This window comes from Homo sapiens, chromosome 17 (genome assembly GCF_000001405.40).
Source record: "Homo sapiens chromosome 17, GRCh38.p14 Primary Assembly".
In the NCBI taxonomy this organism is placed as follows: domain Eukaryota; kingdom Metazoa; phylum Chordata; class Mammalia; order Primates; family Hominidae; genus Homo; species Homo sapiens.
Window position 1 is genome coordinate 45,583,136 of NC_000017.11, and position 25,404 is coordinate 45,608,539.

At 47.8% G+C, this 25,404-nt stretch overlaps 2 pseudogenes across 1 annotated transcript, besides 2 other annotated features; one reads left to right on the forward strand and one right to left on the reverse strand.

The window, feature by feature from the left end:
- Positions 1,216-2,160: an enhancer, noted in NCBI's record as "NANOG-H3K27ac-H3K4me1 hESC enhancer chr17:43661717-43662661 (GRCh37/hg19 assembly coordinates)". NCBI's record gives its function as "activates a minimal SCP1, AML or CMV promoter by ChIP-STARR-seq in primed H9 embryonic stem cells {active_cell/tissue: H9 hESC(primed)}" and the evidence as "EXISTENCE:reporter gene assay evidence [ECO:0000049][PMID:30033119]".
- Positions 2,729-4,289, forward strand: DND1P1 (DND microRNA-mediated repression inhibitor 1 pseudogene 1; annotated as a pseudogene).
- MAPK8IP1P2 (mitogen-activated protein kinase 8 interacting protein 1 pseudogene 2) lies at positions 16,966-18,727 on the reverse strand (annotated as a pseudogene). The gene has a single exon (NR_026901.3). The product of NR_026901.3 is annotated as a mitogen-activated protein kinase 8 interacting protein 1 pseudogene 2 (transcript).
- Positions 17,456-18,153: an enhancer, noted in NCBI's record as "H3K4me1 hESC enhancer chr17:43677957-43678654 (GRCh37/hg19 assembly coordinates)". NCBI's record gives its function as "activates a minimal SCP1, AML or CMV promoter by ChIP-STARR-seq in naive H9 embryonic stem cells {active_cell/tissue: H9 hESC(naive)}" and the evidence as "EXISTENCE:reporter gene assay evidence [ECO:0000049][PMID:30033119]".

Genomic DNA, 25,404 nt, shown 5'->3' on the forward strand with positions numbered 1-25,404 from the left:
TTTTCAGTTTATGTTAGGACAACCTACGTGGGTTTACATTTGGCTTAATATAATACTACCCTACTTCTCCAATAAGTATTTAAGCATTTATTAAAAAACAGAAACTTTTCAATTTAACCACTTCTACTACCCTAGTCTCTCTGAGAAAGACAGGACACACCTCACTTCAAGGAAAAAAGGGTCCTTTTTCCTCACAAATACTTCCTCATAAACTTTATTTTAAAAATGATTTTAAAACCAGATTCTAATTTAATTAATTTAGATTTGCAAAATTATAAAGGACAAGTCTTGCCGGTTGTTGCTTCGGTTATGTTAATTTCACAATTTAGTACACTGCAACTACGTATTTAATACAAAGCAGCCTTTGGGCGGGGCGGGGCGGGGCGGGGCGGTTAACAAAATGCATCTCAGCACCAGCCTAGAGAAACTTTTCTGTGTGTAAACAGAAGAGGGGTTACCATGGAGAAATTCATTACGGATTTCGGGAGGGCTTTTTCCTCAGAAATAGAGTGAAAAGAATAAGTCGTTGTGTAATAAATCTGATACTGACGCTGTGTGACTTAGAAGTTGGTCCAAAAGTTCATCTTAGGCACTTATGCCTAGATGATCAACTACACATCTTCTGCAACAGGTGACACGAACCTGCATTTCCCAAGCAAGGCAAAGCGATCAAATGAGTTAAGACGCGTGTTCCTGCGGTCTTGTAAATTTTTGATTTAACCAAAACAATTTTGAATCAGATGAATTACCAAATTTCGTTGGGTCTTGTTTGGCTTTCTGCTTTGCTTTTTAATCAGCCATTTACCAGAAACTGTTGCACGGGCCCGTTAGCACTCGAAGAATAAAAACAAACACACAAGACCAGATAAGGTTCCCCTACTAACCCAAATGATCCGTTTCCTTAACATAATTTTAAAACCACAGCTAGGGGTGTGAAAACAGATTGTGGCACACAATCTGTCCAAATCCTTAATTCCCTTTTAAGGAACAGATATATAATAAAAATCCGAAAGGAACCACATTAGAAATGAAAAGAGGTTTGCAAAACAAGAGGCTTCTTTCATTCCAGAAAACTACCAAAACAAGGGGAAAAAATGAAAGCAATGGATATGTGTTTGCCCAAGTTTCAATCTTGCCCGGTGGAGACACTACACTGGTACAAATTCTGAGGAGGAAAAAGAGGAGGTTGGCGGGAGGCGGGAAGAGAGAGCGAGTGTGGCCCGCCAACTGCAACAATGCAATCTCCATTTTGAACAATGCGCCTCTTTCCTCCTATAAATCTGGTTTTTTGCCACTTGATGTGCCCTCGCATTTCCCCTCTGGGGGTCGGCGGGGTTGGGGGGAGATCGGAGCAGGATGCACAGCACACGAGTGAGCAAAGGGGGAGGGCAGAGAAGGTGGGGAAGGAGTCTGCAGCAACTGGGCTGAGTGGGTACCTGGAGTGCTGCTGTAGGTACTATGGCTCCTGACGCTGCTTTCCGTGCAGTAACTGGCGTCCTCCTACACCACTTTGTTGACAGCCCTCCAGACCGCAGCCGTCCGGGCCAGGTGGCTGCCCCCGCCTCCCCCCGGCCGGGGCGCTGGTGCTGGGGTGGGGCCGGCGGCGGCGGCTTTCTCCGGCTACTGCTGCCCATCCTGGGCGAGCTCAGGCGCGTCTTGGGCGCCACCTCAGCCTGGCGGCGACCCACCTGCCCGGGCTGCTACCGCGTTGCCGCGAGCGGAACCCCGGATGGGTCCGGACGTGGGCAGCGGCAGCGGCGGCGGGGCCGGGGCGCAGCGCTCCGCAGAGGGAGCCGCGGGCTGCTTGGTCGGCCTGCCCCGCCGGCCCCTCATGTTGGAGCCGAGGCGGAGGGAGAAGGGAAAGCGGCCGGGAAGGGGCGGGCGCAATGGGCGCAGTGGGGGCGGCTGGGGCCGGGTGGGGAGGCCAGAGGGGCAGGGCAGGAGGGGCCCGGCCTGCGGAAGCGGTTGGAGGGAGAAGGCTCAATCCGAATGGCTGGGGCCCCACTGCGGATCGCCTTCAGCCTCCATCTCGTTTCTTCCGTTAACGGAGCGCGGTCACGTGAGCTGAGCAGCCTACGAGCCTGGGACGGGGCGAGGTGGCGCAGCGGCTGCTTGGGGGAGCGCGGGAGCATTGAGTCGGGGGCAGAGAGCCTGGGGCGCCGGGGCTGGGCGCAGCGAGGCGCGGCTGGACTCCGGGCTTGGTGGCGCGGTTGAGAGAGACGCGCAGCTGGCGAAATGCCCCGCGTCTAAGGCCTTCGGAGACCATAGTCTCCGCGGACCCCTGGCTGGAGCCCAAAGCCGGTCGGACCTCCTCCCTGCGTCTCCCCTTCCGCGGCTCGGAGAGGAAGGCAGGAGAGCCCCCAAATATTCCCCTCCCGCCCTCTAGGGAAACTGAAGCTGAAAGAACCAGCGAAAGAAAAAAAAGTCTCGGAGTGGGGCGGCCCGAGCGACCTAAGGGACGGGGCAGTGGCAGCGACCGAGGGAAATTAGTCGGGGTGGGGGAACAGGGAGACAAGCCCCCAGAATTTAGGAAACTCCTAAATTCTACTAAAAATACAAAAATTACCTGGGCATGGTGGCGGGTGCCTGTAATCCCAGCTACTTGGGAGGCTGAGGCAGGAGAATCGCTTGAACCCGGGAGGCGGAGGTTGCGGTGAGCCAAGATCCTGCCATTGCACTCCAGCCTGGAGAACAAGAGTGAAACTACGTCTCAAAAAAAAAGAGAATAGAGAGCCATGCAGTCCACGCGGGATTGTGAGCTGTGGTGTGAGAGGGTGAAGCCAGAGAACAAGGCGGCGCTGGAGGCGTGGGTCAGGCAGACAGGCATCGCCTGGTGCAGGTGAACGGGCAGAGGAAGTATGGCGGGCCACCCCCAGGCTGGGTGGGCAGCCCGCCGCCGGCTGGGTCAGAGGTGTTCATCGGGCGGCTGCCTCAGGAAGTGTATGAGCACCAGCTATCCTGCTGTTCCAGCGCGTGGGCCGCCTCTACGAGTTCCGCCTGATGATGACCTTCAGCGGCCTGAACCGCGGCTTCGCATATGCCCGCTGCAGCTCGCGGCGCGGCGCGCAGGCCGCCATCGCCCGCTGCACAACCACCCGCTGCGGCCGTCCTGCCCGCTGCTTCTGTGCCGCAGCACCGGGAAGTGTGAGCTGAGCGTTGACTGCCTGCCGCCGAATCTGACCCGCACCGCGCTGCAGCCCGCGCTGCAGCCGCTGGGTCCCGGCCTGCAGGAGGCGCGGCTGCTGCCCAGCCCCGGACCGGCGCCCGGGCAGATCGCTCTGCTCAAATTCAGCTCGCACTGGACCGCTGCCATGGCCAAAAAGGCCCTGGAGGAAGGGCAGCCACACCTCTGTGGAGAGCAGGTGGCTGTGGAGTGGCTCAAGCCAGAACTGAAGCAGCGACTTCGCCAGCAGCTTGTGGGTCCCTCCTTGTGGTCCCCACAGCCAGACGGCAGCCAGTTGGCCTTGGCAAGGGACAAGTTAGGGTCCCAAGGGGCTCGGGCTACCCTGCAGTTGCTGTGCCAACGAATGAAGCTGGGCAGCTCTGTGTTCCTCACCAAGTGTTTGGGCATAGGACCTGCTGGCTGGCACCGCTTCTGGTACCAGGTGGTGATTCCTGGGCATCCGGTGCCCTTCAGCGGCCTCATCTGGGTTGTGCTGATCCTAGATGGCCGGGATGGGCATGAGGTGGCCAAGGATGCTGTGTCTGTACGGCTGCTGCAGGCACTCATTGAGTCTGGGGCCAACCTCCTGTGGTCTGCTGGGGCTGAGGCAGGTAGCATGGTTAAACAGTGACTCCATTCTCTCTCCACAGGCAGCCCGAATGGGCATGCACAGCCTGTGTCAGGCCCCAACCCAGCAGACCTGGGTGGCCACTATCTGACCCCCAAAGGTGGGGAGGGGCATGGGCCCAGGCCCATCAGCCTCCCTGCTGGGACAGGGACCTATGGCACCTGGGGGCAGCTTAGGTTTTGCTTAAGTTGTGGTGATGGGCCTTGCCCTCCCCCTCCCAGCCCAGGGTCCAACCTGACCCAGTTATCTTCCCTGGCCATTCCTTGTCCCACCCCCACCCGATCATACCTTCCCCCCTCTGCCACAGCTTAGCATGAATCTTCTTTATTGTCCTGATTTGTCCTGTTTGTTGGTTTTTATTTGTGGGGAAGGGCAGCTGAGCCAAAGGGGTCAGGAATTATGCCCTTTGCCTCCACCACATGGCATTCTGGTTTTGGTTTCTGTATAGTTTTGGGTCTTTCTATGCTGGTTGTATTTATATTAAACCCCTGGTTAGTAAAAAAAAAAAAAAAAAAAAAAAAAAGGCCGGGTGCGGTGGCTCACGCCTGTAATCCCAGCACTTTGGGAGGCTGAGGCGGGTGGATCACGAGGTCAGGAGATCGAGACCATCCTGGCTAACATGGTGAAACCCGGTCTCTACTAAAAATACAAAAAAAAAAAAAAAAATTAGCCAGGCATGGTGGCAAGCGCCTGTAGTCTCAGCTACTTGGGAGGCTGAGGCAGGAGAATGGTGTGAACCCAGGAGGCAGAGCTTGCAGTGAGCCAAGATTGCGCAACTGCACTCCAGCCTGGGTGACCGAGTGAGACTCTATCTCAAAAAAAAAAAAAAAAACAAGAATAATAGTCTCCAATCCCGTCCAGGTTGCTGCAAATGCCATTAATTCATTCCTTTTTATGACTGAGTAGTATTCCACTGTATATCTATACCACAGTTTCTTTAGCCACTCATTGATGGGCATTTGGGTTGGTTCCACATTTTTACAATTGTGAATAGTGCTACTATAAACATGTGTGTGCAAGAATCTTTTTCGGCCAGGAGCGGTGGCTCACTCCTGTAATCCCAGCACTTTGGGAGGCCAAGGTGGGTGGATCACAAGGTCAAGAGATCAAGACCATCCTGGCCAACATGGTGAAACCCCGTCTCTATTAAAAGTACAGAAATTAGCTGGGCATAGTGGCACACGCCTGTAATCCCAGCTACTTGGGAGGCTGAGGCAGGAGAATCACTTGAACCCGGGAGGCAGAGGTTGCAGTGAGCTGGGATCGTGCTGCTGCACTCCAGCCTGGCGACAGAGCGAGACTCCATCTCAAAAAAAAAAAAAAAGAATCTTTTTCATATAATGACTTAGAAAGACTGAACTCTTACCTGGGCTGTGTGTGTTCTCTCTCTTTTTTAGTTCATTCACTCTAGCTATGTGGGGAGGACATTCAGGCAGTGTGTGGAGAAGTCCAGGTAGTAAGCCAATGAAGTCTTCAACCAATATTCAGTGAGGAACTACAGCCTGCCAACAACCAACGAGTGACCTTGAATGCATATTTTCTCCCAATTGAGTCTTCAGATAAGAGTGCAGCCCCAGGCCACTGCTTGACTGAAACATCCCAAGAGAACTGAGCAGAACCACCCAGCTAAGTCCCTCCCAGATTCCTGACCCACAGAAAGTGTGATATAATAAATGTTTTTTGTTTTAAGCTGCTAAATGTTGGGGATAATTTTTTTTTTTTGACATGGGCCTCACTCTGTCGCCTAGGCTGGAGTGCAGTGGTATGATCATGGCTCATTGCAGCCTCAACCTCCAAGGCTCAAGGGATCCTCCCATCTCAGCCTCCCAAGTAGCTGGGATCACAGGTGTGTACCACCACACCTGACTTTGGTTTTTTTTTTTAAAGTAGAAACAAAGTCTTGCTTTGTTGTCCAGGCTGGTCTGGAACTCCTGGGTTCAAGTAATCCTCCATCTTCACGCTCCCAAAGTGCTGGTATTACAGGCATGAGCCACCATGCCTGGCCCAATTGTTAAATCTTTTTTAAATTTTATTATTTTTTTCTTTTTTGTTCAAAGTGTTAATTTTTTTTTTTTTTTTTTTTTTTTTGAGACAGAGTCTAACTCTGTTGCCTGGGCTAGAGTGCAGTGGCACGATCTTGGCTCACTGCAACCTCCGCCTCCCAGGTTTAGTTCAAGCAATTCTCCTGCCTCAGCCTCCCGAGTAACTGGGATTACAAACACGTGCCACCACACCCAGCTAATTTTTTGTATTTTTAGTAGAGACAGGGTTTTGCCATGTTGGCCAGTCTGGTCTTGAACTCCTGACCTCAGGTGATCCACCCTCCTCGGCCTCCCAAAGTGCTGGGATTACAGGTGTGAGCCACCATGCCCAGCCTAGTGTTAAATCTTTATAACAACATAAGTACGAGGTTGAGACTTATTACCCTGTTTTACAGATGAGTAACTGAGGCACAGAAAGGTTGAGTTACTTGGCCAAGGTTATACAACTAATAATTACAGGATACCAAAACCGCTAGCTTCTGCCAGTGCTCTTAATATAAGGTTGAAAGAAAAAAGAAAAGAGCCAATTAACATAAAACATAGCTGTTAGAAGCCTCCTTCTACAAATGGCGATGAAGTCTAAGTTGATAATCATAGCCGCCTTCTTCCACCACTTCTTCCAATCCCCTTTCGAAGGGTTCTGTGCCTCATAGGGACACTCAATACTTTATTCCATAAGACCTGACTTCTTGGTGGTCTTGTTTTTATTGGGTTGCTCTACTTTTCCATTAACCAGGTCTTAGGGTCAAGAGCCTGCTAAGATGTGTCCCCAGTGAATTTTTGGCTTTCAGACATAGCCTCCTTCCTCTACTAAGTAACAGAGCCATTTTCCTCTTGCTAATCATAGGTAAAGAGGCTAGTTCGGTGATGGTTTTAGTTAGCTCAGGCTGCTATTACATACTGGGTGGCTTAAACAACAGACATTGATTTCTCACAGTTCTGGAGGCTGGGAAGTCCCATATCAGGGTGATAGCATGATTGGGTGCTGGCAAGGGCTCTTTTCCTAGCTTGCAGATGGCTGCCTTCTTGCTATATCTTCACTTGGTGGACAAAGAGAAGAAAGGCTCTCTGGTCTCTTCTTTTTTTTTTTTTTCTTTTTGTTTTGAGACAGAGACTCTCAGATGCTCTCTCTGTCCAGGCTGGAGGCTGGAGTGCAATGACATGATCTGGGCTCACTGCAACCTCCACCTCCCGGGTTCAAGCGATTCTCCCACCTCAGCCTCCCAAGTAGCTGGGATTACAGACTTGCGCCACCACGCCCAGCTAATTTTTGTATTTTTAGTAGAGATGGCTTTTCACCATATTGCCCAGGCTGGTCTCAAACGCCTGATCTCAAGTGATCCACCCACCTTGGCCTCCCAAAGTGCTGAGATTTCAGGGGTGAGCCACTAGCCAGACCACCTGGTCTTTTCTCCCAAAGTGCTGAGATTTCAGGGGTGAGCCACTAGCCAGACCACCTGGTCTTTTCTTTTAAGACACTCATCCCATCATGGGGCACTGTCAGCCTAATTACGTCCCAAAGACCCCACCTTCTAATACCATCACATGGAGGTGAGGGCTTCAACATAAGAATTTGGGGGTCGAGGCGGGGCGCGGTGGCTCACGCCTGTAATCCCAGCACTTTGGGAGGCCGAGGCGGGCAGATCACGAGGTCAGGAGATCGAGACCATCCTGGCTAACACGGTGAAACCCCGTGTCCACTAAAAATACAAAAAATTAGCCAGGCGTGGTGGCGGGCGCCTGTAGTCCCAGCTACTCGGGAGGCTGAGGCAGGAGAATGGCGTGAACCCGGGAAGCAGAGCTTGCAGTGAGCCAAGATCATGCCACTGCACTCCAGCCTGGGTGACAGAGCAAGACTCCGTCTCAAAAAAAAAAAAAAAAAAAAACAATTTGGGGGCTGGGCGTGGTGGCTCATGCCGGTAATCCCAGCACTTTGGGAGGCTGAAGTCAGCAGATCACCTGAGGTCGGGAGTTTGAGACCAGCCTGACCAACATGGAGAAACCCCATCTCTACTAAAAATACAAAATTAGCCGGGTGTGGTGGCGTATGCCTGTAATCCCAGCTAACTCGGGAGGCTGAGGCAGGAGAATCACTTGAACCTGGGAGGTGGAGGTTGCAGTGAGCAGAGATCGCGCCACTGCACTCTAGCCTGGGCAACAAGAGCAAAACTCCATCTCAAAAAAAAAAAAGAATTTGGGGAGGATGCAAACACTTAGCCCATAATAGTAGCCGCCTTCCATCCTTATTGATTCAGCAGCATGAGGAACTTTAAATGGCCAGCTTCGGCTGGGCAAGGTGGCTCATGCTTGTAATCCAAGCACATTGGGAGGCCGAGGAAGGAAGATCACTTGAGCCCAGGAGTTCCAGAGCACTCTTGGGCAGCATACTTGCCCATAGTGTAAAAATTAGCTGGGCAGGGCTGGGCTTGATGGCTCACACCTATAATCCCAGCACTTTGGGAGGCCGAGGTGGGTGGATCACCTGAAGTCAGGAGTTTGAGACCAGCCTGGCCAATACAGTGAAACCCCACCTCTACTAAAAATACAAAAATTAGCTGGGCATAGTGGCGTGCGCCTATAATCCCAGCTACTTGGGAGGCTAAGGCAGGAGAATCGCTTGAACCCAGGAGGCAGAGGTTGCAGTGAGCTGAGATCACACCACTGCACTCCAGCCTGGGTGACAGAGACTCTGTCAGAAAACAAAACAAAACAAAAAAAAAAACAGGCGCGGTGGCTTATGTCTGCAATCCCAGCGCTTTGGGAGGCTGAGGCAGGCGGATCACAAGGTCAGGAGTTGAGACCAGCCTGGCCAACATGGTGAAACCCCGCCTCTACTAAAAAAAAAAATTGCCAGGCGCGGTGGCACATGCCTGTAATCCCAGCTACTCCGGAGGCTGAGACAGGAGAATCGCTTCAACCCAGGAGGTGGAGGTTGCAGTGAGCCAAGACCGCGCCACTGCACTCTAGCCTGGGCAACAAAATGAGACTGCGTCTCAAAAAAAAAAAAAAAAAAGAAAAAAAATTAGCTGGGCAAGGTGGCATGCGACTGTAGTACCAGCTACTCAGGAGGCTAAGGTAGGAGGATCTCTTGAGCCTGGGAGCCTGGGAAACAAGAGTGAGATTCTGTCTCAAAATAAATAAATAAATAAATAAATAAATAGATAGATAAATAAATACATACAATAAATGGCCAGCCTCGGCTTCCAGTTGAATAAAACCATAATAGTATTTCCTGATCTACACATTTCTTCCTTTGGCACTAGGACCTCTGGACCCACTGAGTCCCGGGTCCCTGGCAAGGAAAGCAAAAATTCTTCATGTGAATTATTAGGGGCCACAGTGGGAGGAGCCACTCCCATCTCCTCTCCTCGGTTCCTGGACTCATTCTAGCATGGTCTAAGTCTAGGAACGGCAGTGCTAGCAGAAGTCCCGCAGGCAAGGGAGGCAAATCCACACCCAGAACACAGGTCTGTCGTTGTGAGGATGAGGCACTGTCCTTACACCCCAGTCTGGTCCTACAAAAAAGGATGGCCTCTCAGGGTGCAACCTTCACCTTGGAGCAGCGCCCTCTGCTGGCCGCCTCTAAGATCTGTGGCTACTTGCATCCCCCTTCTAATCTTTCCCTACCTCTGTTGGTTCAAATCATCTCTCAGTTTATTAATCCTTGGAAAGAATTACATAGCGGTTATTCACAGCTTGTAAATTACAATAGAAAGGTTCCTTTCAAATGGTAGAGTTGCACTAAAGAGGAAATTGGGTTTATAAGAAAATGGAGGCAAAGAACTTAAGTTTTAAGAAAAAGCACTTCAAAACAGAAGGGCAAATGGAAAAGGGGGATATAAAACAAACCAATAAAAATACCATCTGAGGGTGTTACTGTCCAAAATTAAAGAATAAGATGCATCACTAAGCCCTTTGCACTCGTGTTGACCTCGTAAGTAAAAATTATTACTTAGAATAATAATAAGTGGTGCACACTACATTCCCTGTCCCTCTTCTAGACTTTTTTTTTGTAGAAGAATCAGAAAACAATTTACTAACCTCCCTGTTTGATATTAAAAACTCAATAGGAAGGTTTTTAATATTTTCTGTCAGTACAAGTTGAACTTGATTGTGTCAACTGAAACCCTAGAGGTTTGTGTATCAGTAGAATGCAAGAACATTGTTAAAGTTGCTTACAATCTTTTTTGTTTTCCTTTCCATTCCATTGTATCAATTTTTTGAGTAACTTTCAAATGGCTAGAAAATGGTCTTTTTGCTTTGCCCTTTTATAGCTGAAATAACCAGCTCCATTCTTTTCATGAGTAGTAAGTTGATATATTTATTTATCAGGTATCTTTCAGTTGTCACTAAATACTGTAGTTTTCTTGTGTTGTATGGAAATTATAGTTCAATTATTCTAATGTGATGGAGTGCAACGAGTCATTGTAGAACTTTTCACCTGTTAATGTTGAAGTTATACCTCTGAACTTCTGCTGTGGATATCAAGGAAATAATAAAGCGAAAACCCTAAGACATTTGAAAAAAAAAAAACCCAGCCTGGGAAACATGATGAAAACCCATCTCTACAAAAAATACAAAAATTAGCCGGGCATGGTGGCACACACCTGTATTTCCAGCTACTTGGGAGGCTGAGGCGGGAGAATCACTTAAGCCCAGGAAGTGGAGGTTGCGGTGAACTGAGATTATGCCACTGCACTCCAACGTGGGTGACAGAGCAAGATCCTGTCTGAAAAAAAAAATCAATGAATCAAAGAATGGTGACCCTAGTAAATACCTGATACTTTATTTATTTGGCTCAATGAAAATAAAAAAGAGAATTTTATGCAAAAATTTCAGACAACTGAATTTTGCCAAATGATTCCATTTACTAAGGATTCCATCTTTGGTTCTAATGTAGCATATATTCCCTGTGGAGGAAATGGATTTCTCCAAATAACTGGATCCATAGTCATGTAATGCTAGTGGGGACAATCACCCCAGCTTAGATACCATCAAATGAATTCCAACATATGTGGGCTCTCCCATTATTTGTCTTCTCACCTGCCAGCCTGCCTCTCTTGGCAATGCTAGGATTCCAGAATCAGGCCCTAAGCTCAGCAAGGGCCTCCATGAGGGCCATATTACACCCTAAGATTCCCAGATGTCTATTTGGAACCACCTTTGACTTACTCCCTTATTTTGCCCCTGAAACTGCATGGGGACAAAGAAGAAATCATAAAAACAGGGATAATGGATATGGCCCTAAGTATTTTAATGTGGCCTATCAATAGTGTCGTCATACCATCCCTGTTTACCAAGCCTTTATGGCAATTTCTTCACCTTGATACTGTTGACATTTTTGGCTGGTCATCATTTTTTTATGGGGGAATTGTCCTGTGTGTTTTAAGACGTTAAGCAGGACAGGTGAGGTGGCTCACACCTGTAATCCCAGCACTTTGGGAGGCTGAGGCGGGCTGATCACCTAAGGTTGGGAGTTTGAGACCAGCCTGACCAACATGGAGAAACCCCATCTCTACTAAAAATACAAAATTAGCCAGGCGTGATGGTGCATGCCCATAATCCCAGCTACTCGGGAGGCTGAGGCAGGAGAATCGCTTGAACCCGGCAGAGGTTGCAGTGAGGCGAGAGCGTGCCATTTCACTCCAGCCTGGGCAACAAGAGCAAAACTGTGTCTCAAAAAAAAAAAAAAAGATGTTAAGCAGCGTCCTTGACCTCTGCCCAGATATTGCCAAATGTCACTTGGGGAGCAAAATTGGCCCAGTTGAGAACCACGGGACTAAAGTAAGCAGAATTATCAGGATAAAACAGACAATTCACCTCTATCATACCAGAGTTTTTTGTTTGTTTTTTGAGACAGGGTCTTGCTCTGTCACCCAGGCAGGAGTGTGGTAGTGTGATCATAGCTCACTGCAGCCTCAAACTCCTGGGCTCTCAGGAGGCTGAGAAGCAGTGAGTCACAATTGTGCCACTACAATCCAGCCTTGGCAACAGAGTGAGAACCTTTCTCAAACAAACAAGAGGAAGAAGAGGAAGAGGAAGGAGAGGAAGAGGAGGAAGAGGAAGAGAAGGAAGAGGAAGAGGAGAAAGGGGAAGGGAAGAGAAGGACAAGGAGAAGGAGAAGAAGAAGATTCTGGGGCTCAAGCCATCCTCCTGCCTGAGCCTCCCAAAGTACTGGGATTACAGGTGTGAGTCACCGAGCGTATTAGTCAGGGTTCTCTAGAGGGACAGAATTAATGGAATATATACAGGAGTTTATTAAGTATTAACTCACAGGATCACAAGGTCCCACAATAGGCCATCTGCAGGCTGAGGAGCAAGGAGAGCCAGTCTGAGTTCCAAAACTGAAGAACTTGGAGTCCGATGTTGGAGGGTAGGAAGCATCCAGCACGGGAGAAAGATGTTGGCTGGGAGGCTAAGCCAGTCTCTCACATTTTTCTGCCTGCTTATATTCTAGCCTTGCTGGCAGCTGATTAGCTTGTGCCCACCCAGATTAAGGGTGGGTCTGCCTTTCTCAGCCCGCTGACTCAAATGTTAATCTCCTTTGGGAACACCCTCACAGACACACCCAAGATCAATACTTTGTATCCTTCAATCCAATCAAGTTGACACTCAGTATTAACCATCACACTGAGCCTGGCCAAAGCTGGACTACTTGTAAGCTTTTGTCTGGAACCGTGATTTGGGAGCAAGTGGCCCGAGGACGATGAAAACTATCAGAGGTGGCTGGGCACAGTGGTTCATGCCTGTAATCCCAGCACTTTGGGAGGCGGAGGTGGATGGATCACTTGAGGTCAGGAGTTTGAGACCAACCTGGCCAACATGGCAAAGCCAGTCTCTACTAAATATACAAAAACTGGCCAGGCATGGTGGCTCACGCCTGTAATCCCAGCACTTTGGGAGGCCGAGGCAAGTGGATCGCCTGGGGTCAGGAGTTCGAGAGAAACATGTTGAAACCCCATCTCTATTAAAAATATAAAGAACTAATCAGGCATGGTGGCAGGCTCCTGTAGTCCCAGTTACTCGGGAGGCTGAGGCAGGAGAATTGCTTGAACCCAGGAGGTGGAGGTTGCAGTGAGCCGAGATCATACCACTGCACTCCAGCCTGGGCGACAGAGCGAGACTCCATCTCAAAAACAAACAATCAGAGGCGCTGACTGCAGTGACAGCCATCCGGCTCTGACAGTTCCTGTGCTTCCAGCTTCTTGCTATTTCAGGGGCTCTGGTCTTGATTCTTGCAGGTTCCCAAACCTGGTCCTACAGCTCCCCACCTCCTGTCTCTTTAGTGGTTTAGTGGGCGCCCCCTCCCCTGTATCTTTCTAGTGAGTTTTAATGTGCTTTGCTTAGGTAGGGCTGGTTTGTTTCCATTATTGGCAACAAGAAGGAATTCGTCAAGGAGTCTAAGAAGTTGTCTGGAGAACCAAGAAAAAGATTTCCTGGAAGCATAGAAAGAGTGCATTTCCGGAAGAAAGATTCATCAAGAATTTCAAACATCAGGGCCAAGTCAAGCAGGACAGGAACTGAAAGGTGCTCCTCAAATTTGCCTATGAAGAGGCCACTGCTGGGGAGGAGTGTGTCAGGCAGCAGTGGAGGGAGGACAGCAAGTGTAAAGGAGACTCTGCAACTTCCACCTCCCAGCTTCAAGCACTTCTCATGCCTCAGCCTCCTGAGTAGCTGAGATTACAGGCGTGTGCCACCACACCTGGCTAATTTGTGTATTTTTAGTAGAGATGGGGTTTCCACACAACCGGAATACTACTGAGCAATAAAAAGGAGTGAACAGTTGTCCCTCGGCATCTGCAGGGTATTGGCTCCAGGACCCCCTGCCGACACCAAAGTCCACAGATGCTGAAGTCTTTTCTATGAAATGACATAATGTTTGTATATAGCCTCAGGTATGCTTTAAATACCTAATACAGTGTAAATGGTATGTAAATAATTATACTGTATTTTAAATTTTCTACTGTTTTTGTTGTCTTACAGTTATTTTATATATTTCATTTTTTTCAAGTATTCTCCATCCATGTTTAGTTGAATCCATGGATGAGGAACCTGCAGATCTGGAGGGCCAGCTGTAGTGATGGGTGCAGCAACATGGATGGTAGCATAATTTCAAAAAATAATATGATAAGTGAGGCCAGGTGAGGTGGCTCACACGTGTAATCCTAGCACTTTGGGAAGCCAAGGCGGGCGGATCACTTGAGGTCAGGACTTCGAAACCAGCCTGGCCAACATGGTGAAACCTCGTCTCTACTAAAAATACAAAACTTAGCCAGGCGTGGTGGCAGGTGCCTGTAATCCCAGCTACTCAGGAGGCTGAGGCAGGAGAATCACTTGAACCTGGGAGGTGGAGGTTGCAGTGAGTCTAGGTCATGCCGCTGCACTGCAGCCTGGGCAACAGTGAGACTCCATCTCAAAAAAGAAAAAATTATGCTAAGTGAAAGAAGTCAAATACAAGAGGCTACATGCTATATGATTTCATTTATAAGATATTCTGGAAAAGGCAAAACTATAGGAAATCAGATTAGTAGCTAACAGGGGCTGATGGTGGGAGGAGGTGATTGACTACAAAGGGACACGAGGGACCTTTTTGAGGTGACAGAAATGCTTTATATTGGGAATGTGGTGGTGGTTATGTAACTATACATTTGTCAAAACTCATCAAATTGTACACTTAAAAAGGGTGAATGTTAGTATATGAAAATTATATCTCAATAAACCTGACTTAAGAAAATAATAAAACAAACCTAAAAACGCAACAAGGTGAAAATAAGTCTAAGAAAAAAATAACTTACAGTTTTTCCAGTTCAACGGTCATCATGAGAATGTTCTTAAGTGTTGTAAGTGGGACTTGCGTTGTTCCCACGTCTCTGAAGAAGAAAGCCGAAACAGTCATGATATGAACCCCAATAAAAAATTCTGTACTTAAAAAGATAATTCAAGGACATGTGATTACTTCAATTTTGGCTTCCCTATAAAACAAGCCAGTTCAACAGTTTATTTGCCGCAAAATTCCAGAGAGCTCTTATTAAAGAAATTAAAGTTGATTTGCATCATCAAATTAATGATATTCAAGAGTAGGTCTTACACTGTTTTTTTTTTTTTTTTACCATTATCTTACTTCTCAGTTTCATATTGCATTCACCCATCTTGAATATTTACTCTTTTCTTCCTTTTTAGAATAATGAACACCTTTTCCCCTTTGCTTTCTTGGTTAAGTAATATTCCTCCATGTGTCTACATGTTCCAAATCTATATGGGTTCTTCAACACTGTTCTCTTTCCCCTGCTGGCTATCTTGACCATTACACATCCTTTCCTTTGCCAATAATGTTTTTCAATAACTCAGTTAAAATTTAAATTATGACATTTTAGCCTAAATGCAAAATACTTAATCTTTGATGAAAAATTTAAAAAGAGTATAAATCATCTCATGACTCCCAAGAGTACTATAGTACTTACCGATATTTTAATGCCAGTAATTTAAAGAGATACGGATCTTCAACAGTTGTCAGAGGATTGCGATTGAGAATTCTGAAAAATGCAATGGAATTAAAATAACCTGCATTTTCAATGTGTGAAACTGCATAAGAAGTTTACATTCATTTTTTGGTATGGAACTTGTGGGTAAAAAAAAAAATCATTTTCTGTTTTTACCTAATAAATCAACATTAGACTCTGTAAAGCATTATTCCTTCGGGAACTACCTAGATCTCTAGGAGATAAAGTAGAGGAGAGAAAGAGGGGGAAAAATAGGGAAAAAAAAGTGGATAGCAAAGAAACAATATGCCACAGAACTTTTCAGGTCGAAAACCCTAGAAGTGACTATGTTGGTAGGAAGCCCTGATTCTGTAGGAAACACTATTTCTAGTGTCCTCCATAATTCAAGTTGCTCATCTTCTTGTTTTGTTTTGTTTTGAGACAGAGTCTTGCTCTGTAGCCCAGGCTGGAGAGCAATGGCTCCATCTCATCTCACTGCAAACTCCACCTCCCAGGTTCAAGCGATTCTCCTGCCTCAGCCTCCTGAGTAGCTGGGATTACAGGTGCCTGCCACCACACCTAGCTAATTTTTGTATTTTTAGTAGAGACAGGGTTTCGCGATGTTGGCCAGGCTGGTCTCGAACTCCTGATCTCAGGTGATCCACCTGCCTCGGCCTCCCAAAGTGTTGGGATTATAGGTGTGAGCCACTGAATCTGACCGCTTGCCTTTTATCTTTATAAAGTTATTAAAATTTATGGTTTAATTTGCAAAGTTAAGAAAAAAAAATAGGACCAATTCTTTTGCTTTATAGCCAAAGAAAAAGGGATAAATCTAAGAGGAGGAACTGGTCAAAACCATACTCCCATCACATACTCCCACTTGTCTTCTTGTATGACATCATAGCCTTTGTTACATTGCATGTAATCACCTGTCTACTTGTCAGTCTCCTGGACTATCAGCTCCCTGAGGGCAGAGACCACATCTTATTGTCATTGTCATCCCTGTGCCTGGCATGATGTCTGAAATTTACCAGACATTTAATAAATGTTTATTGAATAAACAAATGACATTTTATTTGTATGTCAATAAAATGAATAAATTCTTTTTGATGCAAATTTTTATTCCAAAATGCTGGAATCAATTTTCTTTTTAATTCTTTAAAGTGAACAAGGAAAAGAAAAGAAACAGGAAGAAATAAAAGAAAATCTGCCTTTAGGTTAACCCAAGAATCATCACCATACTTTTGCAGAAATTATAAAAATAATAATTATTACAGTGAGTATCTATTGGGCTGCTAGGTATTTGTGATCAGCATTTCACATTTAATCCTCACAATGCCTTATGGGCTAGATATTATCATTGCCCTATTTTATAAATGAGGAAACTGAGGCACAGAGAGGTTACATAACGTCCTACATCACCAAGCTATTAAGAAGCAAAGCTGTAATTTGAAGTCATGTGTTTTAATCTGTATGAAGAAAAAGGGTTTACTTTAACCTTATGGTTTTTTAATTTTTATTTTATTTCTCTTTCTTTCTTTCTTTTTCTTTCCTTCTTTCTTTCTATTTCCCTCCCTCCCTCCTTCTTTCCCTTTCTTCCTCCCTTCCCTCCCTCCCTCTCTTCCTTCCTTCCTGCCTCCCTCCCTCCCTCCCTTTTCTTTTCTTTTTTTTTTTTTTTTTTTTGACAGGAAATGGCACTTTAATAGTTGGGGCCAGGGTGACAGGACCAAGATGGGGCTAGCCTGTGTCAGTCAGGAAGCCTCCCTCTCCTGCTGGGATAGGGCCTTGCGGCAGCTCCTCCTCCCCGCTGAGGTCCTAGGCCTGCCACAGGCTAGCATGCCAGTGAGGTCGGTGGCAGGAGCCACCCAGAAGCCCCGCAGATGACAGAGCTGAGAACAGGGACTTCACTTCCATGTGTTGCCATTTCCTCACTGGAAAGTCCTTGGGAGGTGGCTGGGCTCAGCCTGAGCTCAGGGTTCTTCGGTGGGTGTTGGGACGGGGCAGGGCGGGCACTTGCAGGTGGCACAGGCTTCATCAAGGCAGGACATGGGCTTCATCAAGGCAGGAGCCAGAGCACCCGAGCCCTGGCAGGGGAGGTATGGCCCAGGATGGGGCAGGGCCGTGTGCTCCTGGAACGGACATCCTTCTCTGCCAGAGACCTGCTCCCCAAGCCCTGTCCCTCCCAATCCCCAGGCAGCCCACTCTGCCCTCCATAGATGAATCTAATCCCATATATTACAATAAACTGCATTTGCCTCTCCCCATTGCCCCACCCTCCCCTACCCTGAGCCAGCGGCCCCCACTTCCTCATCCCCTGGCGGTGGCAGGTGCCCCTCCTCAAGCAGTGCCACATCCTGTCAGCAGCCAGCTGTCCTGGCACTGGCCTGAGGGCCGGGGGACGCAGAGGGCGGGGCTGCGCGGCTACTCCAGGTAGATATCTTCTGTGGGGCAGGTGTACTCCACAAACTGCTTGTGAAACTGCTGGAATGCTCTCCCCACGGACTCTGCCAGGGCTTTGGTGGAGTCTTCAGACACAAAGACGTGGCAGGCAAACCGGTGGTCGGCGAGGTGCTTGGTGATGAACCCAAAGTACTTGTTGTTCTTTGGATGATATCCGCGGAAAGAGATGTTTTTTAACTGGAAAAAGTGGCTACATTTATTCCCCTTGGCCTCCTGGGAGTCATCGGCCTTGACACCTATCTTCACACCCCGCACGCTGATCTCCAGGACACAGCTGGAGGGCGGGTTAAAGTGCACGGTTAGCCGGCGGGTGGTGGCAATCTTTTGCATAGCGGCAGAGAGGACGACATCGCCCTTGTGATAGGGAACCTGGACTGAGCCCAGGAACTTCACCCGGAACTGGTCCACCCAGTCACTGTTTTTAGCCAGGGCTGCCATGTGCTCGGGCTCCTTGGTGACTTCGATGGCGTAATAGGCAGTAAAGAAGCCCCGGGCACCAGTGCGCATGTTGTAGGCCTCGTACCAGTAGTCTTCAGCCTGGAGCTCCACTAGCAGAGGGTCATCCACTTCCAGCTCAGGTTCGTCTTCGTGTCGAGGCACAAACCTGAATATGGTCCGGTGGGTCTGCTCCTGCTCCTCCCGGTTGATGATGCAGGAGAACAGCCCGAAGGACTCGGCACTGGAGGAGCGGGAGCGGCCACTCATGAAGATGTTCAGGAACTTCTTGGAGAAATGGACGTCGGGTTCGTCAGGCGTGGAGTCCTTGGAGAGGCAGGCAGGAGGCTGGGGCCGGGAGGCCTCCTCATATTCCTCTCCGATGGCTGACTCATAGGGCGAGGAGACGGAGGCACAGTTGTCATAGACGATGGCCGAGTCACTCTCGTCACTGTAGTCTCCGAAGCACGGCCGCAGGCTCACCGGCTCCAGCTGCGCGTGCTCATCTACCAGCAGCGTGGGCTGTTGGTGGAGGTGCCTCGATCTGTGGTGGGGGCGGGGCTGCTCTGGGGGGGCAGCTCATCGCTCAGGCAAATGGGTTCATGCGGTGGTGTCTGCTCCCCTGTCTTCAGGGGTGAGGATGATCGAGACACCCGATCCTGCCAACTGTACTTTTTGCCCAGAGAATTATTATTCAGTGTGTCCTGAGACAACTGCACCTGCGGAAAGAGGTTGAGCGTGGTGGGCCGCTTGGGCCGGTACGTGTCCCCGCTGCCCGGGCCCTGGCTCTGGCCTTGGCTCTGGCCCTGGCCGCGGGACGCCGGCTCCTGGCCGGACTCGGCCTTGGGCGGCCCCGCTCCCGGCCGCCGGGCCGCGCGCTCCTCGTCGTCGTCCTCCTCGTCGTCCTCGGCCCCGGGAGTGTCCCCCGTCGCGTCGATCAGGTCCATCTGCAGCATCTCGGCCTGCAACCGGCTCCCCGCGCCGCCGCCACCCGCAGAGCCCTCCCTTTTCTTTTCTTTTTTCTTTTCTTTTCTTCTTTCTTTCTTTATTCTCTTCATGTCCCTTCCTCCCTCCTTCTTTCCCTTTCTTCCATCCTTCCCTCCCTCCTTCCTTCCTCCCTCCTTTTCTTCTTTCTTTTTTCTTTCTTTCTTTTTTCTTTCTTTCCTTCATTTCCCTCCCTCCCTCCTTCTTTCCCTTTCTTCGTTCCTTCCTCCCTCCTTTTCTTCTTTCTTTCTTTCCTTCCTTCTTCTTTCTTTTCTTCCTCTCCCTCCCTTTCCCTTCTTCCCTCCTTCTTTTCCTTCCTTCCCTCCCCTTCCTTCTTTCTCTCTCTTTTTCTCTCTCTTTTCTTTCACTCTTTTCGCCTTCCTTCCTTTTTTCCTTCCTTCCCTCCCTCCCTCCTCTTTCTCTCTCTCGCAAAAAAAGAGTAAGCAGACATAATATCAATATATTCATTTACCTCAAGGACTGAGAATAATGAATTTAGTTCATGCAACTATGATTCTTCTTGTCATTTATTCAAGAAACTTTGAGATTCATTCCCATTATAGCTAAACACTCTTGACACTGGGAATATAAAGATAAATAACTCACAGTCCCCACCCTCAAAGGTTTATAATAGAGTAGGAGAAGGGAAACAGTAAACAAAAGTTTGAAGTGTGATATAGTGAAATATATATATTTGGTCTTTGACCTCATTTCCTCGTATACACTTAGAATCTCCAAAGTGATATCTTCTTGTATGCAAACAAATTGACTGGTAGCTTCAGGATGGGGGCTGGCGGCAAAAGACCAAAGCAGGATTAGAGGGTTGGGACTTTTCTTCCCCACCCCCCAACCTCCCAGGAGGTGAGAGGAGCTGAAGATTAAGTTCAGGGACAGAAAAAGCTGCCCTTGAAAATTCAAGGCCTTGAAAATGCAGAATTAAGTTTGAATATGAAAGGGAATAATAGACCCAGTGCTTTGGGAGGCTGAAGCAGGAGGATCCTTTGAAACCAGGAGTTCAAGACCAGCCTGGGCAAGGTAGGGATGCCCTGTCTCTACAAAAAAAATAGAAAAATTAGCTGGGCATGGTGGCATATGCCTTTAATCCCAGCTACTTGAGAGGCTAAGGTGGGAGAATCATCTGAGCCCAGGGAGGTTGAGGCTGCAGTGAGCCATGATTGCACCATTGCACTCCAGCCTGGGTGACAGACCCAGCACTTTGGGAAGCCAAGGCGGGTAGAACGCAAGGTCAGGAGTTCAAGACCAGCCTGGCCAAGATGGTGAAACCCCATCTCTACTAAAAATACAAAAACTAGCCAGGCGTGGTGGCAGGCGCCTGTAATCCCAGCTACTTGGGAGGCTGAGGCAGAGAATTGCTTGAACCCGGGAGGCAGAGGTTGCAGTGAGCCAAGATCATGCTGCTGCACTCCAGCCTGGGTGACAGAGTGAGACTTCGTCTCAAAAAAAAAAAAAAAAGAATAGATTTCCTGTGACCAATTTCGATATTATTTATTTTTAGCCAAACTTATTGACCCAGAATGACCAGTTTAGATAAATCGTGGTCCTGGGATGGAACACAAAAAAGTGGAATTTTATTAGAAAAGGAGAAGGGGAGTGGCTATTGAATATTGATGTTGTGTTCAATATAGTGAGGGTTTTTTATTTTGTTTTTTGAGACAGGGTCTCAGGGTCTTGCTCTGTCTCCCAGGCTGGAGTGCAGTGCACTGGCATGATCATAACACTGTAGCCTTGAACTCTTCAGGCTCAAGTGACCTTCCCACCTCAGCCTCCTGAGTAGCCAGGACTACAGGCATGCACTGCCACACCTGGCTCATTTTTCAATTTTTTGTAGAGATGCGATCTCACTATGTTGACCCGGCTTGTCTCAAACTCCTGGGCTCAAGCAATCCTCCGACCTTAGCCTCCCAATGCACTGGGATTATAGGCAAAAGCCACTACACCTGGCCTGAACTTTTTTATTCTAAGGATTTGCAGAGTTTCTGTTTAAGCCATTATCTTCAAATAATGGTTTTAATTTCTTTTTAATCCTTATGTAAAATACCTTATTTCTTTCTTTCTTTCTTTTTTTTTTTTAGATGGAATTTCGCTCTTGTTGCCCAGGCTGGAGTGCAATAGCACGATCTTGGCTCACCACAACCTCCACCTCCCAGGTTCAAGCGATTCTCCTGCCTCAGCCTCCCGAGTAACTGGGATTACAGGTATGTGCCACCACGACCTGCTAATATTGTATTTTTAGTGTAGATGGGGTTTCTCCATGTTGGTCAGGCTGGTCGCGAACTCCCAACCTCAGGTGATCCATCCATCTTGGCCTCCCAAAGTGCTGGGATTACAGGCATGAGCCATCGTGCCCAGCCCTATTATTCTTTTTTAAAATTTTTTTAAAATTGAGATGGGATTTTGCCATGTTACCTAGGCTGGCCTCAAACTCCTGGGTTCAAGCAATCCTGCCACCTCTTTCTCCCGAAGTGTGGGATTACAGGTGTGAGCCAGCGTGCTTGGCTCTTTATTTTATTTTATTTTATTTTATTTTATTTTATTTTATTTTATTTTATTTTATTTTTTGAGAGAGAGTCTTGCTCTGTCACCCAGGCTGGAGTGCAGTGGTGTGATCTTGGCTCACTGCAACCTCCACCTCCCAGGTTCAGTGATTCTCCTGCCTCCCTCTCAAATACCTGGGATTACAGGTGCCCACCACCACGCCTGGCGAATTTTTGTAGTTTTAGTAGAGATGTGGTTTCATCATGTTGACCAGGCTGGTCTTGAACTGCTGACCTCAGGTGATCTGCCCACCTTTGCCTCCCAACATGCTGGGAGGGTGTGAGCCACGGTGCCCAGCCTTTTATTTTTTATTTTTTATTTTTAATCTGTCTTGATTTTGCTTCCTTCCTAAACAGTTTTGGCTTCGTGATCACGTAAACCAAGAGTCACAAACTGAAATGCCATCAAGGGGCCAAGCAGGTAACAAAATTCAAGTCATACAGGTTCAATGTCTTAGTCACCCCAGGCTACAACAGAATATCATAGACTGGGTAGCCTAATAATACAGATCATTTTCTCAGGGTTCTAGAGGCTAGAAAGTCCAAGATCGAGATTCCCAAAGGGTTAAGTTTCTGGTGTTGATGCAGGGCAGGTAAGCCACAAAACTGGGGCTTAGACTGAGAGGGTTCTTGGCTTCACCCAGGAAATAATTCAAGGGCAAACCGAAGGTGTTAGAGGCCAACTTTTTTTTGTTTCGGGACAGGGTCTCACTCTGTCACCCAGGCTGGAGTGCAGTGGCTCACTGCAGACTCTGCCTCCTGGGTTCAAGTGATTCTCCCGCCTCAACCTCCTGAGTAGCTGGGAGTGCAGGTGTGCGCCAAAACACCCAACTAATTTTTTTGTATTTTTAGTAGAGATGGGGTTTCACCATGTTGACCAGGCTGGTCTCAAACTCCTGGCCTCAAATGATCCACCCGCCTCAGCCTCCTAGAGTGCTGGGATTACAGGTATTACTCACTGCACCTGGCCTAGATGCCAACTTTTATTGAAGCAGTGGCCTATAGCAACAGCAGAGGGACTGCTCCTTGCAGAGCAGGGCTACCCTGTAGGTAGTGTGACCAGAGTAGCAGCTCAGGGCAGTTCTGCAGTCATATTTACATTGACCTTTAATTATATGCAAATTAAGGGGCAGACTATACAGACATTTCTAGAAAAAGGCTGATAACTTCTGGGTTGTCAAGTTGTTGCCATTGAAAGGGGTGGTAGGCTGAGCACAGTGGCTCATGCCTGTAATTCCAGCACTTTGGGAGGCCAAGGCAGGTGGATCATGAGGTCAAAAGTTCAAGACCAGCCTGGCCAAGATGGTGAAACACTGTCTCTACTAAAAATACGAAAATCAGTTTGGCGCTGTGGCAGGCGCCTGTAATCCCAGCTACTCCGGAGGCTGAGGCAGGAGAATTGCTTGAACCTGGGGGGTGGAGCTTGCAGGGAGCCAAGACTGTGCCACTGCACTCCAGCCTGGGCGACAGAGTGAGACTCCGTCTCAAAAAAAAAAAAAAAAAAAAAAGGCGGTGGGGTGGTAACTCTGGGTTCTGCCATGGAAATGGTGGTAAACTGACATGGCGCACTGGTGAGCGTGTCTTATGGAAAGCTGCTTTCATCCTGTCCCTGTTTCAGCTAGTCATCAATTTGGTCTGGTGTCCAAGCCCCATCTCTGGAGTCCAGTTCCACCTCCTACCTCAGCGTGGGCTTTATTACCTGGCTTGCCTTCTTGAAGTAGCTTCATGTGGCAGAGAGAAAGCTAGGGAGCTCTCTGGGTTCTCGTCTCATAAAGACACTAATTCTATTAGATCAGTGCCCAGCTTTATGACCTCATTTGACCTTAATTACTTCCCATAAATCCCCTTTTTTTTTTTTTTTGAGACAGAGTCTTACTCTGTCACCCTGGCTGGAGTGCAGTGGCATGCTCTCGACTCACTGCAACCTCTGCCTCCCAGGTTCAAGCAATTCTCCTTCCTCACCCTCCTGAGTAGCTGGGACGAGAGGTGCGCACCACCATGCCTGGCTAATTTTCGTTTATTTTTTTTTGAGATGGAGTCTTGCTCTGTCGCCCAGGCTGGAGTGCAGTGGTGTGATCTCGGCTCACTGCAACCTCTGTCTCCCGGGTTCAAGTGATTCTCCTGCCTCAGCCTCCCAAGTAGCTGGGACTACAGGCGTGTGCCACGACACCTGGCTAATTTTTTTTTTTTTTTTTGTATTTTTAGTAGAGATGGGGTTTCACTGTGTTAGCCAGGATGGTCTTGATCTCCTGACCTCGTGATCTGCCCGCCTCGGCCTCCCAAAGTGGTGAGATTACAGGTGTGAGCCACTGCACTCCGCCAAGTTTTTATATTTTTAGTAGAGATGTTTTTAGTAGAGATGGGGTTTCACCATATTGGCCAGGCTGGTCTTGAACACCTGACCTCAAATGGTCCACCCGCCTTGGCCTCCCAAAGTGCTGTGATTACAGGCTTGAGCCATCGCATCCAGCCCCACAGTTAATACTTAATGATGAAAGACTGTAAGTTTTTCTCCTAAGATCAGGAAGAAGACAAGGATATTCACTCTTGCCACCTCTATTCAACATTATACTTAAATTTCTAGCCAGGAAATTAGCAAGAAAAAGAAATAAAAGCCACACAAATTAGAAAGGAAGAAATAAAACCATATGTATTTGCATATGACATGATCTCGTATGTAGGAAATTCTAAGGAATCCACAAAACCGTTAGAACAAGTAAACAAATTCAGCAAAGTTGCAGGTGTAAGAGTGATATAAAAAAAATTGGCCTGGCGCAGTGGCTCATGCCTGTAATCCCAGCACTTTGGGAGGCCTAGGTGGGTAGATCATGAGGTCAGGAGTTCGAGACTAACCTGACCAACATGGTGAAAACCCATCTCTACTAAAAATACAAAAATTAGCTGGGGGTTGTGGCACGCACCTGTAATCACAGCTATTCGGGAGACTGAGGCAAGAGAATCGCTTGAACCCAGGAGGCAGAGGTTGCAGTGAGCCGAGATCACACCACTGCACTCCAGCCTGGGTAACAGAGCGAGACTGTCTCAAAAAAAAAAAAAAAGTAAATAAATAAATAAATTGTATTTCTATACAGTAACAATTAGCAAGCTGAAAATGAAACTAAGAAAATTCATTTACAATATCGTTTACAAACACACACTTAGGAATAAATTTGACCAAAGTGCTAGACCTTTTTCTTATTTATTTATCTTTTGGTTCCTAAAGTATCCACACCAAACACAAAATAAAGCAAAATCTTTTTTTTTTTTTTTTTTTTTTTTTTGAGACGGAGTCTCACTCTTTTGCCCAGGCCGGACTGCAGTGGCGCTATCTTGGCTCACTGCAAGCTCCGCCACCCGGGTTCACACCATTCTCCTGCCTCAGCCTCCCGAGTAGCTGGGACTACAGGAGCCTGCCACCGCGCCTGGCTAATTTTTTGTATTTTTAGTAGAAACGGGGTTTCACCGTGTTAGCCAGGATGGTCTCGATCTCCTGACCTGGTGATCTGCCTGCCTGGGCCTCCCAAAGTGCTGGGATTACAGGCATGAGCCACCGTGCCCGGCCACAAAATCTTAATAGTAATAAATTAATTTTGCAAAGTTGGAGGATACAAGATCAACGTACAAAAATCAGTTGTTTATTTATTTTTTAAGAGACAAG